The 14,539-nt window shown below is 36.3% G+C and overlaps 1 long non-coding RNA gene across 4 annotated transcripts in view, besides 1 other annotated feature; it reads left to right on the top strand.

The window, feature by feature from the left end:
* The window catches only part of LOC105373703 (uncharacterized), a 158,249-nt gene that overhangs the window by 59,431 nt on the left and 84,279 nt on the right, over positions 1–14,539 (top strand). For 3 of the 4 annotated variants that reach the window (XR_001739749.2, XR_001739751.2, XR_001739750.2), the window contains exon 5: positions 13,899–14,280. The exons of the other annotated variant lie outside the window; for it this stretch is intronic. This is a non-coding gene — a long non-coding RNA (uncharacterized LOC105373703). The remainder of the gene's footprint in view (positions 1–13,898; positions 14,281–14,539) is intronic. 4 annotated transcript variants of the gene reach the window in all.
* Positions 12,846–13,614: an enhancer, noted in NCBI's record as "OCT4-NANOG hESC enhancer chr2:156697781-156698549 (GRCh37/hg19 assembly coordinates)". NCBI's record gives its function as "activates a minimal SCP1, AML or CMV promoter by ChIP-STARR-seq in primed H9 embryonic stem cells {active_cell/tissue: H9 hESC(primed)}" and the evidence as "EXISTENCE:reporter gene assay evidence [ECO:0000049][PMID:30033119]".

The raw sequence follows: 14,539 nt of genomic DNA, 5'->3' as shown, positions 1-14,539 counted from the left end.
CTAAATTTTACACCGTGAGTAGCAGTTTGCCAGGCAGATAAGGTGGAGAAGGACGTACCTGAAAAAGAGTCCAGCATATGAAAGCAGGAAGTTGAAAAAGAAAAAAGCAAGGGAGAGAGACGGCATGTGGCTGAGTACATTTTTATCACATGATGAGAGTAGAGGAAGGTAAACCTTAAAATGAAGGTAAGGGCCCTGATACCATTCCATGGAAATTCAAGTGACCCTGAAGGATGTTAAGCAGGAATCAGGCGTCAGATCTGCATTTTCCAAAGGTACACTGGCATCAGCCTTAAGGATATATCTAATGGACAGCCAGAAAACCCAGAGAGACAAGTTAGAAGTCACAAGAGTGCTTTCACTCATAAAATCTGTACCTGATAGTTTAGTGTTGGGGATTGACTGTTAATTCAAACCCAATTAATTCTGACATATTTCCACTGTGTGTAACTACCTATCAATGAAAATTGTCACTATGCCTGAAAATATTTTTTGAATTATCACCTTCTCCTGAAGTATTTTATTCAACATTGCAAAAATAAATTTATAAGGTGATTTGAGGAAACAAATATAGCTGTGATTTTGTGTTTGTATAGGTTTTTGCCCACAAAAAACTTTTCTTCTGTTTGTGAAATTATGCTATGCAAATGTGTATAGCATATATGCATTTTAAAATAAAAAATACCTATATACCCCATACCAGCTTAAGAAGTAAAAGTTTACCAATACCTTTTACAGGTGCTTGTGTGTCCTCCTTATCATATTCTTCTCCACCTTACTGTACTGAGTTTTGTATGCCTCTTCCCTTATTTTTTATAAGGGCTTAGACAGTCTTCTAATTTCTTTGTTTAAGTTCTCCCCCCATCCACCCACATGCCGACCTAAGACAGGATTAAGATATCTAGTGTCTACCCTATGTCTGATTGACATACATGAGAATATTCCCCAGTTGGTATTATAGCACAAAGTTGGTGAGGTGAAAGCACATTTTATGTTAGCACAGACTCAAAAATACTTGGAGCACTGGAATGCACATATGTTATCCTTGAACTACTGCCAAATCATAAGAGAATGTAAAGAAATATGAAAACTACTATATAGACTAAGATATTGTCATTAAGATCAGACGTTCCTTGGTGTCATTGTCATTCATGTTTTCTTTGAAGCAATTTTGACTTTATTAGTTATTGCTAAAAGATTTGAAATATACCTTTCTAGGTAAGTAGTAACTGTTTTCCAGATCTTCTCTGTTTAGGACATTTTACATAAAATAGTTCCTGTAAAGCTCTTTAAATAATGACCAACATAGAATAAGCCCTCAACAAATGTTAGCTAACAATATTGTTGTTATTATTGTCGTTATTGTTATTATTGCCAACTCTATTCTTCCAGTGATATAGATCCTATTTTCTATTGAGAGAAATACAGTAGTGGGAGATGGTACTGTATAATTTGGTGTAATCTTACTGCATTGATGGTAAAACACTTCTTTCATTATTTTATTTTGCATACAGGTGGGAATTCGATGACCCTAGAATTAAATTTTTTGTGGGCAACCTTTCTCTCTTTCCATTTCCATCAATGTAACCATCCCTTAGTAGGCTGTCTTTTTATATTATTTAAAACATGAAAGGAGCATGTCATAGACATTACTGCTGTTCATCAATATCCCTTTTCTTTTTGAGTCCGCTGAGCTAGCTTGCATAACTTTAGGTAAGGCCAGGTGACCAACTGGCCAATGAAATGTATCCATCCCAGGTGGAGGCAATGAAAAGCCCCTGGAGCAACATTCTCTAGTCAAAATTTCTTCAATTCTAATCATGAAAATTATTTGTTGAGAGGGCGAAGCAGCAAAATTCAAACAGGTTAGATTGTTATGTTGCCACACAGAGGACAACTGCCCAAAAGGACAACTGTCCTGACCTATAGCACACTTTGCATGAACCAAAAATAAATTATAGATGCTAAGCCACCGAGATTTTGTGGTTGTTTGTTACCTAGTCTGTCTTGACTGATATAAAATACTACTTTATTTTTCATGCATAACTAATCTGGCATTCTTGACTTAAAAGAGAAGTAGCACATTCCTCATTTTAATGGACTATCACTGTGCTTGTACCAAAAAGATGAAAACTTGAGCAATAATATTTATTGCTGTTAAAGTTCACTTTCTATTATTCAGTATTCTAATACTTGTTTCCAGATATTTAAGAACATATAATAAACTGAGCTCATTATTTTACCAACTTAACACAATAATACCAATAATCACAAAACAATTTCTTGCAGAGATTAGCTGGCTATGAATATACACAGATAAACGTTAATCTCAGATCTCTTTGACATTGCAAATGAAGTTATCTAGATTATGATGATCGTGTCATTAATTATAAAACTAGGACCTCATTTTATATCTAACATCAAACTTAACCAGGTTAGTTTGTAGATGATGGATTGTTGTGGGTGGAAAAGTGTATCCAGGACTGAGCAAGCCATAGCAAATGCTGATTGGACAGAATTTGTGTCAGGCAGCTTAGGCTAAGTTATGCTGCAGTAACAAACAGCCTCAAAGCAAGTGGCTTATAACAAATTATTTCCTCATTTTAACTATATATCCATTCTGGGTTGGCTATGTCTCTGTTCTAAGTCACATCTGTTCTGGAATCCAGGCTGAAGGTAGCAGCTGCTATCTGAAACATTGCTGGTTTTGTGTCAGGGAGAAAAGAAAATATTAGAATCACATGATAACCTATCTTTGAAGTATCACACACATCTTTCCTCACATTCTACTGGGCAAAGCAAGTTCTATGACCAAATTTGATGGCAATGGGTAGGGATGGATTATTTTTCAACAAGGAAGGGCAACAAATATTTTGAACAGTAGTTATCCAATATAGACCGAGGTTAAGCTTGTGAGGTTGGGGTAAGGATCAGAAAGGTAAGCCTTTTGGGATTTCCAAGAGCACAAAGTCAACATAAGCAATGATTATAGCAAATTGGACAATTGTGAAACAATGACGAATATAATCAGTGGATTTGATTCTAATCTCTATTCCATACTGAAATAAAAAAGTATGAAGCCCATATGAGGAGGTCTGAGAAAAACAAGGCACCAGTTAAACATTGATAAGATTAAGACCAGAAGTTCTGAGACAGATTTCCAGCTCTAAATCAGAACTTAAAAACAAGTCAAACAAACTTTTTAAAATAAAAAAATTTCAAACATAGTAAAAAATAAGGTAACAATGAATTTTCCATATCCCTATCATCCATATTCAACAATTATTAAAGTGTGCACAGTTCCATCTAAATTACTCCATTTTCTGCCCCTGGTTTATTTTGAAGTACATCTCAGACATCATCTCATTCATATCATTCAATTAGTATTTATCACTAAAATATACAGTCTTATAATTTAAACATATAATATTATTATAATTTGTAAAAGTTTAAAAAATTGCTTAGAATTGTCACATGTTGAGTCAGAGTTCAAATTTCCCAGTTATCTAACCTTTTTCTTTTGTTTATTTAAATCAAGGACCTAGTAGGTCTATTATTATAAATAGTTTTCATGTCTCTTAAGACTCTTTCAAGCCATAAGTTCCCCCCTCTCTTTATTTTTTATTTTCCGTTTTTATTTTGTGATTGTTGTTATTGTTGAATAAACAATGAAATTCAGAATATTTAATTTGATGTGTACCGGTGGATGTTGATTCTAGCAGAAGGTGTGCAGATAGAGGCAAATGTAAGCACCTAAATTGACCAAGGAGTTCAGAGAAAAGATATCTGGAAAATTATGACTTGTTATGACCTGCACTTACGGTGTATTGAAGAAAATGTGCCTTAGGATTTTGCAGGCATTACTGTCATTGTAAACAGGAAAGGTATAATGCTCAAAGTATTTCATTGCTCTTAGTCACAAAATGCTGGTTAGATTACCTTAGATCAATTACAGAACAATATTGCCAATGAGATTTTCATAGATTGTATTTTCAAAACAGTCCGCAATAATATGTTCTGTTCTACAACTTGATGAAGAGAATATAGTGCAAGTGGATCTCAGTCATGGTACATCTTCTGCCTGGCATTTTCTCTCTCAGGACTCATGCCTTGGAAGCTCTGAGCTAGAAGCCATCAGGCTGGAAAGACCACATAGAGATAAAGAGGAATGCTACTAAGTTGTCCAGCTCTCAGCGATTTAAATCTTTCTAGACCAGAGACCAGCTTGTAAATTTGTGAGCCTTCAAAGGATTCTGGCCCCCAGCTTTGAATAACCCCAGCTGACACTAACTAGAGTATGTAGTCCCAACCAAGGTCTGCCCAAATTGTTATTTGTAGGCAAAATGAATATTGTGCTGTTTTAAATACCAAAGTTTTAAGTTGGCTTGCTACCTTAAATTGATACCAGCTTGCTGGTAAATTGGTGGCTTGCTACCAGCAATTGGTGTGGAAAAATGAGTAACTGAATATCTGGTTGTGCTTTGGCTCTGCTGCTTTTAAGTTCCATCAAAGAATTCCCTTTCATTTATTTCATCAGGTATTTATAGTTTTCCTACAATGTGGCAGATATTATATACGCAAATAAATAAGACATGGTTCCTACCATCACATAGCTTACAGTTTAACAAAGTTGATTATCAGGGCATAATTTTCAAGGCTTCATTAAATACAGTGAGTGTTAATAAAAATACTCATCACTTATTATACATGCATCATATTGCCAGACATTATACTAGATGTTTTACATAATTATTTCACTAAGTCTCAAATTAATCTCATGAAATAAGCATTAAGAGCTTCACTTTATACTTGAACACACTAAAATTCAATGAAGTTAAATAAATAGTCCAAGGTAATCTAGTAAGTAAATATCAGAACTAGAGTTTCTACACACTGCTGCCTGAGTCTTTTAAATGACTATTTTTTGTTGTTATTGTTTTTCTATAATAGAAACTTTCAAATATTATACACAATCAGTTTCAGTTGAATGAAGGAAGATTTATTTATTTACAGGTTAATTCCACCCTAATGCTAAATGATATTTAAAGTAGACTCCAGAATGGCTTGATAAACATGAAAGTCATATGAGTATGCATATACATAGTGTAAAAGGATTTTGATTGGGATGTTTCCTATTCCTGTGAAGTATGCTATTGGCCCATGGATGAAAAGAAAAATTGTAAGCATGGCAGCACTAACTCATACCTACTTACAGTGAATTAGAGGAGGCATCCCTTGTACAGCTGTAGCTCTGCTCCATGACCTGAGGTTTCATCAGCACTAAACAGAATAGATTTTAGTCCCCATTTGCTCTTTTAGTAAGGTATCTTTTTGCACAAAGATCCACAGAATCAAGCTTCCAACAATTTTGTTGGAAAACTTGCTCATTTTCTGGCTATATACTCCTACTGCTATTGGCACTGAGCCACCATCTTACCTTCCTCTGGAGTCTTTGTGAGATGATTGGAGAGAATGGAGAGAAATTTTTCGAAAAGTGCATCATTTATATGGTAAAGTAGTTCTCTCTACACAAGCGAAGTGATAAAGAAGAATGAATCTTTAGGAGAATCATTCATGGAGATTGCAGGTGCCGAAAAGAAGAAAAAAAAATCTGAAAATCTGCTTACCTGGTTGAATGCTTGCTAAGTTATAAAATTTATAGTAAATTGAAGCACAAATTATAACAGTATTCTTGGAAGAGGGAGAGTTGAGATATGTTCCCTGATGACCAAAGGAGAATATGAACTTAGACCTGGTCTCTGCTTCTTATCTGCATATTTCTGAAGGCAAATATAATGTATTATGCCTATGAAGAAGATGGGAGCAAATCAAAGTCAACTTACTTATCCTCAGCTCTTAGAGTGTAAGAGGGAAAACCTGTCAGTTTTTACGGCTCTCTGAAGGATGTGAGGAGGTGAGAGGTGAGAAGAGAGGAAAGTTATGTTGGGCAGCCCATGTGAAGTGAAGCTTTTCCAGAGAGAAAGTGTAGATGTGGAGAACCACCAGGGTTGAAGGAATCCAGGATTTCCCCTCTGTGAAGTCCTCCCATGTGGCAGAGTCTTGGGGTAAAGCTAAATACCATTTTCAAGAAAACCTTCTAAGAATTAAAGATCTGGAAGAAAACCAGGGATACCTCCAAATGGACGTGCAGCTCCTTTCTACTTCACTGTCCTCCTTGCCTCCAACCTCAGAGGTGCCAGACCCCAAAGAAGAAGCAAGCCTAACAGGAAAACCCAGATACTAGTCTCATTACTTCAAATTCTTTATGCCCTTCAAGTAGCCGGAAAAAGGAAAAGGCACAGATCCTTCTCTTGAATCAAATAGAAACTAAAGTTTTAAATTAGCCTAAAATCAGGTTTAGTGAATGAAAGTGACAAAAAGTTGTAGAATTCACAAGATGTAATAAAGGTCAGTCCTGCCTCTCCCCAGCAACATCAATTTCTTCCTTTATGGATCTCTTCCATTAGCACACAAATATGCGATACCCTGGATGGCAAAAGGCTCCCTTGCCTATATTGCTGTTCAACTTCTATCCCATTTCCCCATTCAACTTTGCAGAAAATTTTTGTTAAAATGATTGACTAAAATCACTTCTTTTCCATATATTCTCTTTCAACACAACCCAGCTGGACTTTGGTCTCCATCACTCTGCTCAGATTTTCCTTAGCAAGGTCATAAATAAATCCGTGTTCCAAATCAAGTTGTCACTTCACTGTCATTTTCTGAACCTCTCCCAAACATTCAACATAACAAACCTTTCCTTCTTTCTTGAAATGCTTTTTTAAATTTGGCTTCAGGGATACTATATCACGATATTTTCTTTTTTTTTTTTTTTTTTTTTTTTTTTGAGACGGAGTCTCGCTCTGTCGCCCAGGCTGGAGTGCAGTGGCGCGATCTCGGCTCACTGCAAGCTCCGCCTCCCGGGTTCACGCCATTCTCCTGCCTCAGCCTCCCGAGTAGCTGGGACTACAGGCGCCCGCTACCACGCCCGGCTAATTTTTTGTATTTTTAGTAGAGACGGGGTTTCACCGTGTTAGCCAGGAGATATCACGATATTTTCTACTTCTTTGTTTGCTTCCTGTCCTCCACCTCTGACATTGGAGGGCCCTTGGTGCATTGATCTGCTCTCTTTTGTCTTTTCTATCTAGATAAACTCCTTAGGCAAGTTTTTTTAGTCTTAGGGTTCCAATAAAACTTAAATTTATCTCCAGTGCTAATTTGGCATTCCTACAGGCATGATTCTAAGGCTTTATAAGTCAAAATATATCTTAAGCAAAACTTTTACTCCCCCCCCGCCCAAGAACAGATTCCTCCCTTATTCTTTCCTGTCTGTGTAAATGGACTCACATCTATCTGTTGATAATCAAAATTCTTGGAATTATCCTGTATTACTCTCATTAGTTTTCTTGCCATCTCTTCTATAAGCATGTTCGGTTAATTCTACTTGCAAGATATATTCCAAATGCATTCAATTATCTCCAGCTTCCCTAGTTCCAGCCATCATCTTCTCTTTCTTGGACTACTGCAACAATTAACTAAGAATCCTGTTGTTTATTCCCTGATTCTTCAACTCTTCCCACTGTAGCCTGAGATATATTTTAAAATGTTACACTGTATACATATTTCCAGGCTTAAGACCTTCTAGGAACTTCTAAGGGAACTAAGCTTATTTCTGCCTTTTGACCTTTTCACTAACTCTTCCTTTGACTTGCAATGTTCTTCCCATAGATTTTATCACGGCTAGCTCCTTTGTGTCATTCAGATCTTTGCATAAATATCACATCCTCAGAGATACCTTCTTAAATCCTCAGTCTAAATTTGCATTCACTATCGCATTGCACTCATAATTTTCTACCAAATACTTACAACTACCTGAGAACCTTCTTGTTTATTTTTTGGTTTTCTTCTACCTGTAGTGTAAACTCTGTGATAATAATGACATTCTCTCCTTTTTCCCCTATGTCTGAGAATTTATACCTATTTCTGTCACATAGTAGGCATGCAATACATATTTTTTAATTAAAAAAATGACTAACCCTTATAGGAGACATATAAAAAATGTAGTTTAGAAATGTTTACCCTGTCTGCATAAACAACCAACATTTGGGAAACTGCATTCACAATCTAAAAACTGATGCCACAGAATAAAAAGCAGTAAGCATTAAGTATTAAGTTCTGCTTATTTAAGTAACCATGAAGTAGCAAAAACCTAGAGAAAATTTATCAAGACAAAGACCCCATCAATTAGAAGATTGGCAGAAAAAAATCAGTGTAGACAAAAGTTCCAGACTAGAGTAGTTTACCAAAGATCTTGAATCTGTTGTGTGAAGCATGTAGACACATTTGATTAGTAACATTTATGAGTCACAAATAGCAGTAAATAGAAAGGCAAGAAGCTAACCACAAGGTCAAATGCTGTCATTAAAGACAAGTTCATAGTAACCCCATTGTACTGGAGTGGCAATGGGAAGTGACAGGGTGACATCATAAAAAGTACATCATGTGGCACTCAAGAAGAAAGCAAGATATGGGGAAAATATTATATAAATAGCAAACAGACACATAAAGAGAAAGTAATTGCAATTGTTGGTATACAGAATGAATAGATTATGCATTTTGGTAGGTAGCTTTATAGAATTAAATACTCTCTACCCAAATGGGGACAGCTGACAATTAAACAAACATTTTTAGTAGTGCATTGTGAAAGCAGAGAAGAAAGAACATCCAACTGGTTAATTTGGTCAAATTGTTCAATGTATTTGTCAGGTGCTCAGTTTCAGTCAGACTCTTGAAATTTGTAGTTCACCCACATAAAACACTCAGCTGGATATTTAAGAATTAAGAACTCAGTTTGTTATTACATTTTTTTCCTGGCCTATGTATTTCGTTTTATCTAAATTTGTTAGATTGCTGCATAAAGAAAGAAGGGTTTTGCTTTAAGTAACATGAACTTCATTCATTCCCCGCTAAGTTGAGGCTGTAATTGAAACGCAAGTTTCCCGTGTCCCCTTCGAAAGGCTTGCCATGGGACTGTGGCTCACTTCTTCAGTGTCCTACGGCTCAGACCTCTACGGCAGCATACAGATAGGCAGGCTGTGTGGCTCCAACCCCACGGCAGTGTCTAGGGGTGAATGTTTACAGCTCCTGAAGCCCCAGTGGGTGTGTGTTACAGGGTTCTCTCTCAGTTTGCCGTCTATAGGCAGCTTGTGTTAACCAGCTCAATTAGACCCCCTTCCTTATCACAAGGACAGAAGGAATTCTGTATCCGGGGGTTTCTTGCCTTGGTGTACTGAAGAATCGGATCACACGTGGGCTTGGAGAATGAGTGCAAGGCTTTTTTTTTGTTTTGTTTTGTTTTGTTTTGTTTTGTTTTTTAGTAGAAGTAGCTCTCAGCAGAGAGGGGAGCCAGAAAAAAGATGGTTTTCCCCTGGAGTCTGGCCACCTAGCCTGGCGGACTGCTCTGGCCAAACTCTGCGGCATTCTGCTGGTGAATGGTCTGCCATCAGGCCGACCAGGGGCTGTCCGCATGCTTCCGCCAGGTGTGCTCTCCATGATCAGCTGCTTGTGTCTTCTGCCAATGTGTTCCTCACAACGTCCAGCCATTTGTGTGTCTGCCTGCTAGTGTCTCGGGTTTTTATAGGCCCAGGATGGGGGCCTGGCAGGCCAGGGTGGTCTTGGGAAATGCAACATTTGGGCAGGAAATGCCTGTCCTCACCTAAGGTCTGTGGGGGTGGAGCCCTAGCCAGAGACCACCCTTCTCTACCCAGCACTTCCCTTCCCCTCTTCGTGCCATTTAAAGGGACCATGCTTTTCCCTTCCCTATAGTCCCCTATCATAATGACTGAGCCTTAACATCCTTATTCCATAATGTGCCATTCTCGAAACAAAAAGGCCAATAGAAAGGGCCAGGAAAAAACACAGTAAAATACCGAAACTTATCAAGACTCTTCAAATAAAAGATTGAGTCCTCAATTTTTAATGTGAATAAAGAGAGCAGTTCTCACAACAATCAAATGGTTCTTGACTGTCAGGGCTTGATTAGCATTGCACAGGATGAAGGAGACAGAAGGGTTGTGTGCACGCAGGGAACAGAGCTCAGAGATTCTGAAGAGAGGAAAGGATTATACTTAATAATGGATATATTTTTGAACTCCTTAGGAATGTTTTCTTGCCTTGTGACTGCAGAGCACTGTGGGATTTTGCCATTCTGTCTTTCCCTAGGGTCTTATCATGAGATGGTTACCTAATTAGCACACAGCACATTCTTGCCTATGTTCTATTTGCACTGCAGATGCTTTCATTTCATACATCATTCACAACCTGCAGCAATTATAAAGTGGTAAATGACCTTATGCGATAATTACACTAATAGATCTGTATTGTTTCATTTGGAAGACTGTTTGGAGAAAATAGGTGTCTGATAAGCACAGAATGGTTGCAGTTATATTCTTTCTTTAAATCTGCAACAGAAAGCAAGCAAAAAGATAACTTTCGGTCATAAAAGTTGCATCATATACCCAATCTGAAAAATTCCTAGGTAGAGATTTCTCTTTAGAAGGAATATAAACTTTTTGCAAGTATCTCAATGTTGTACCGTTCGTTTGACCAACAATATTTGGATTTATCAATTAGCATTGGCATTTTAATAAATCAATAGTATCCTTATCTGCTAGAATCAGGAAAAGAGAGATTATTATTTCTCCTAAAACTACTCAAAAATCAGTCTTATACTAACTGTAAAATTCAGTGGATAAGATATGGTTCTAATCTTTAAAGTGGCTGAAAGCTAAACAAATTGCAATTTTCAAAGGAAGTGCACACATAAAATATGAATGCTAATATAGAAGAAAATGAAACAAAAATAAATGGTCAGTGTTGGTTTCTTCCTTCCTCACTCTCCCACTCATGCAATGAGGCACCTTACGAAGTTGTATTGAGATGGTTTTTAGAAAGAATTTGTATCATATGAACATACTAATAAAATAACCTAAAATTTGTATAGCTAAGTAAATACATATGTTTTCTTTGTTAACTTGATCTCATTTTATTGCCTTTTAAATTGAGCCCACAAAACTCTTTACCCACACTTTCTGGATTTGTTGCAAATGTGTGTGAACACTCTTTGAAGCTTACTCTATAATATATTATTTAAAATATACTTTAGCAACTAATTAAGTGTAATAATTTTAAAACAACTTTCTATACAAGTCTAATCTTCATAAAACATGAATTATCTACACTGATGCAATTTACAAAATACTGGCTTAGTTTCAATTTTACTTGGTACTGACCAGAAGCTTAAAGGTGAGAGATGCATCATAGTATTTTTCTGTAACTTAAATCATTGTTGGTGGATGAAAACAATAATTAAAATGATAAATGTGATAGAGTGAAGAAAACACTTTATACTTAGGAAAGATGTGTTCTAATCATTGTATAGCTAATGCTTCAGTGGATTTGAAATGATTAAACAAGAAAAACTTTTAGCTGTACTGGTAGTGATATTCTGTTGAAAATTCCATCATAATCATGATTTGCTTATTAGGTATTCTGTGTTACTGGTTTAGATCTCGGTCTAGAAATTACTTGTCTGGCAAAGGGAAGAATGTAAAAGGGATCTTAGCTTTAACAATGGCTTTCTTAGTGGGGGGAAATAAAACAGGGAAAGTGAGAAAGGAAGGAAGATGGAAGGGAGGTAGGAAAGGAAGGAAGAAAGGAAGGAAAGAAGGAAGGAAGGCAGGAAGCAAGGAAGGAAGGGAGGGAGGGAGGAAGCAAAAAAGAATAAAAGAAAACTAAAACATGGTTTCTTTAAATGTACAAATTAATTGTAAATGCTCTTACATTTTAAAATTGTAAAAGTGTGAAAATATAAATATATGATTTAGCATGAAGGGATTAAAATACAATTTACCTTGCTGTGGTGTGCACGTGCACACACACTCACACACACACCCTGCAAGTACAGTATGGACTGGTGATTACACTAATGGCATGGTAATGGCATTGAGCAGTCATTCAATTTGTTTGGACATCATTTTCTTCACCTAAAGATGAGACAGAATGAGGCAACAGACCACAATTTTCTAACGTGAGTTTTATCTTCAGATAAATGGACTCATTCTATATTCAAAAAGGAGTAGATGTCCCTTCTTTTTGGAGCAAAATCTGGAACTCATATAGGTGGACAGTAACACATCTCAAGGGTCGCCAACCAAATACATTATTTCCAATAAAAAATAAGCATAAGTGATTCCACATAGCTTTTTATTGTTTTCTTCACTGCCCTGGCTTTGCTCAAGGAGGTTTTCTGCTATACTTTGGATATGGTCACCGTTAAGGTCAGGTTTGTTTTCAGGCTGCCTGGCATTTTTTTTTCTCTTCCTTACCAGTAGCTCTTCTCACAGACATTTTCTTCGAGTCTTTCTCATTTAGTCACCGAGTGCTTTGGTGACCCGCACTCCTACAGGGTAGATTTAAACTTTGCTTCTTTTGTAATCTCGGAAGGTTTTTTTTAGATTCTGTTATGGCAACATCATGGGACTTACTTCCCTCCCCACCCCCGAACTAGTTGCCATCTGACAGAATCAAGAATTGCATTATTTCATTCTCTTCTCATCATCACTATTGTTATTTTATTTTTTAAAAAAACCACACATTGTTCTTCTCTGCTCAAAGCTTGGCATTCTGAACTCTGAGTAATATTTCAAACGAGATGAAATGATGTAGTGCACCACACTGTGCCAAAATGAAATGCTTGCCCCTTCTAATCAGTGCAGTTAAATAAGACAGACTTTGTTGCATATCTTATTATAAAGCATTCCTAAGTACACATTTTACATGTAGCTGAGTGAGTAAACAATTGGAGTACTGTAAGTTGCTTCACAGCATAAAGCTGAATAACGTATTGAAACAACTTCAAGTACCATCACTCAGAGAACTAATGTGTTTTCTTCCTTAGAGAAGTCTTCATATGTCACATTCTGGGAAACTGAGAATCTAATTTAGACATTTTTTTTTTTCCATTTGATATTCCTTACCCCTTTCTTTTGTTTGACAACCATAGTAGAGTTAATCAGCTACAGTAACTCGATCTTCTATTAGCCTTGCTAATCATGCAAATACCCTTTTTGAAAGTCACACTTGCATTTTTAATGGCAGTACTCCCCACCCAGATGGTCGTGAGAGGGTAGGGGAGAGGGGTGGGAAAGAACAACAACTTGAAATAAAATAATAATAAAGACAATTTTGGTCATCTAGCTCATTGAGTAGCCAATTGGCTGATTTCCTGTGCAAGAGAAAGGGAACACAGGAATGTGAGTAATTCAATTCATCCATGAGCTTTAAAGTCAGATGAAGTGCTTCAAAGTTCTGACTGCCATCTGCTAGATTTATAACCTGAAGCAAGCTACTTATCGTCTCTAAGCCTCAGACTCTTCTCTAAAATGGGATAATAGTCGCTACTTTTAGATTGAGAAATTTAAATGTTACTTTTTTTCAGACTTTGCAGAAAACATACAAATATTTCATAATGGTTATTTTTTATTGATGCTGCTTCTGTTAGTGTTATTGTATAGAGCTTTAAACACAGATGATGAAAAATAGCAAGGACAGTTACACTGCTTCAACCAAGTCCAATGTTTAAGCAAATATTTCACTAAAAGGATTAGCTAGAAAGAAATTCATTACTTCATCTAATTCCTTTTTTTACCTATCATCCTCTTTCTTAATATATACAATATATTTTAAAGAACAAATGGTTTAGCAATACTTTTCTAGAAAAGATAAACTTATGAAATGAAGCTTGCGCATTTTCAGAAAGAAGAGCAGTTCTTAAAATTAAAAGTATATAAAAACATTGATTTTGACCAAAATTTTACTTTTTTTGGCTTTCATTTCAGTTTCCTCACTGGAGAAAATAAGCCTGGTTATTTTTTGGCCTATGTTGAAACATCATAAGTAGAATGAAACAGCATAATTTTTTCCCCCTGGGGTTCAAGAGTTTATTTCTTTTGATACAACAATAAATCAACTGACGAAATGGAATTTCTTTGCAATACATATGCAACAAGTTAGTTTGCATGGACAAGTTGAGCTTCAGTTTATATATAGACACTCTGGAACATTTTATTATAAAGCAATAGTGCTGGAAAGCCACTTAAAGGGGTAACTGCACCAGTAACTATGAGAAGGAGATATATGATTAACCTAGTAGAACTTAAAAAGTGATTTCTGCAGCTTTGAAATCATCTACACATGAACTCAAGCAGCAATACGTATTGGGTGAGTATAACATAATGCTGATGTAATTAATCCTTCTGATGCTATTTCCTTAGAAAGAACGGGTGGTAGAAATTTTAAATGAATTGGTGTAATTTTGTTTTATTTTCAATGTAAATTGAATTTTTGAATCTAAGAATCCATGCTCAGCATCACAGGCACTATACTTTTATGTCATCACAGGTTTGGAAAACCCCATAACCAGATTTGTCTCTTCAAGAAACAAAAGCCAACTTTGTAGTTATAGACAAGACACACACGT

The sequence above is a fragment of the Homo sapiens genome, chromosome 2 (genome assembly GCF_000001405.40).
Source record: "Homo sapiens chromosome 2, GRCh38.p14 Primary Assembly".
Lineage (NCBI taxonomy): Eukaryota > Metazoa > Chordata > Mammalia > Primates > Hominidae > Homo > Homo sapiens.
The sequence above is the reverse complement of the archived record's forward strand: the minus strand, read 5'-3'. Positions and strand labels throughout refer to the sequence as shown.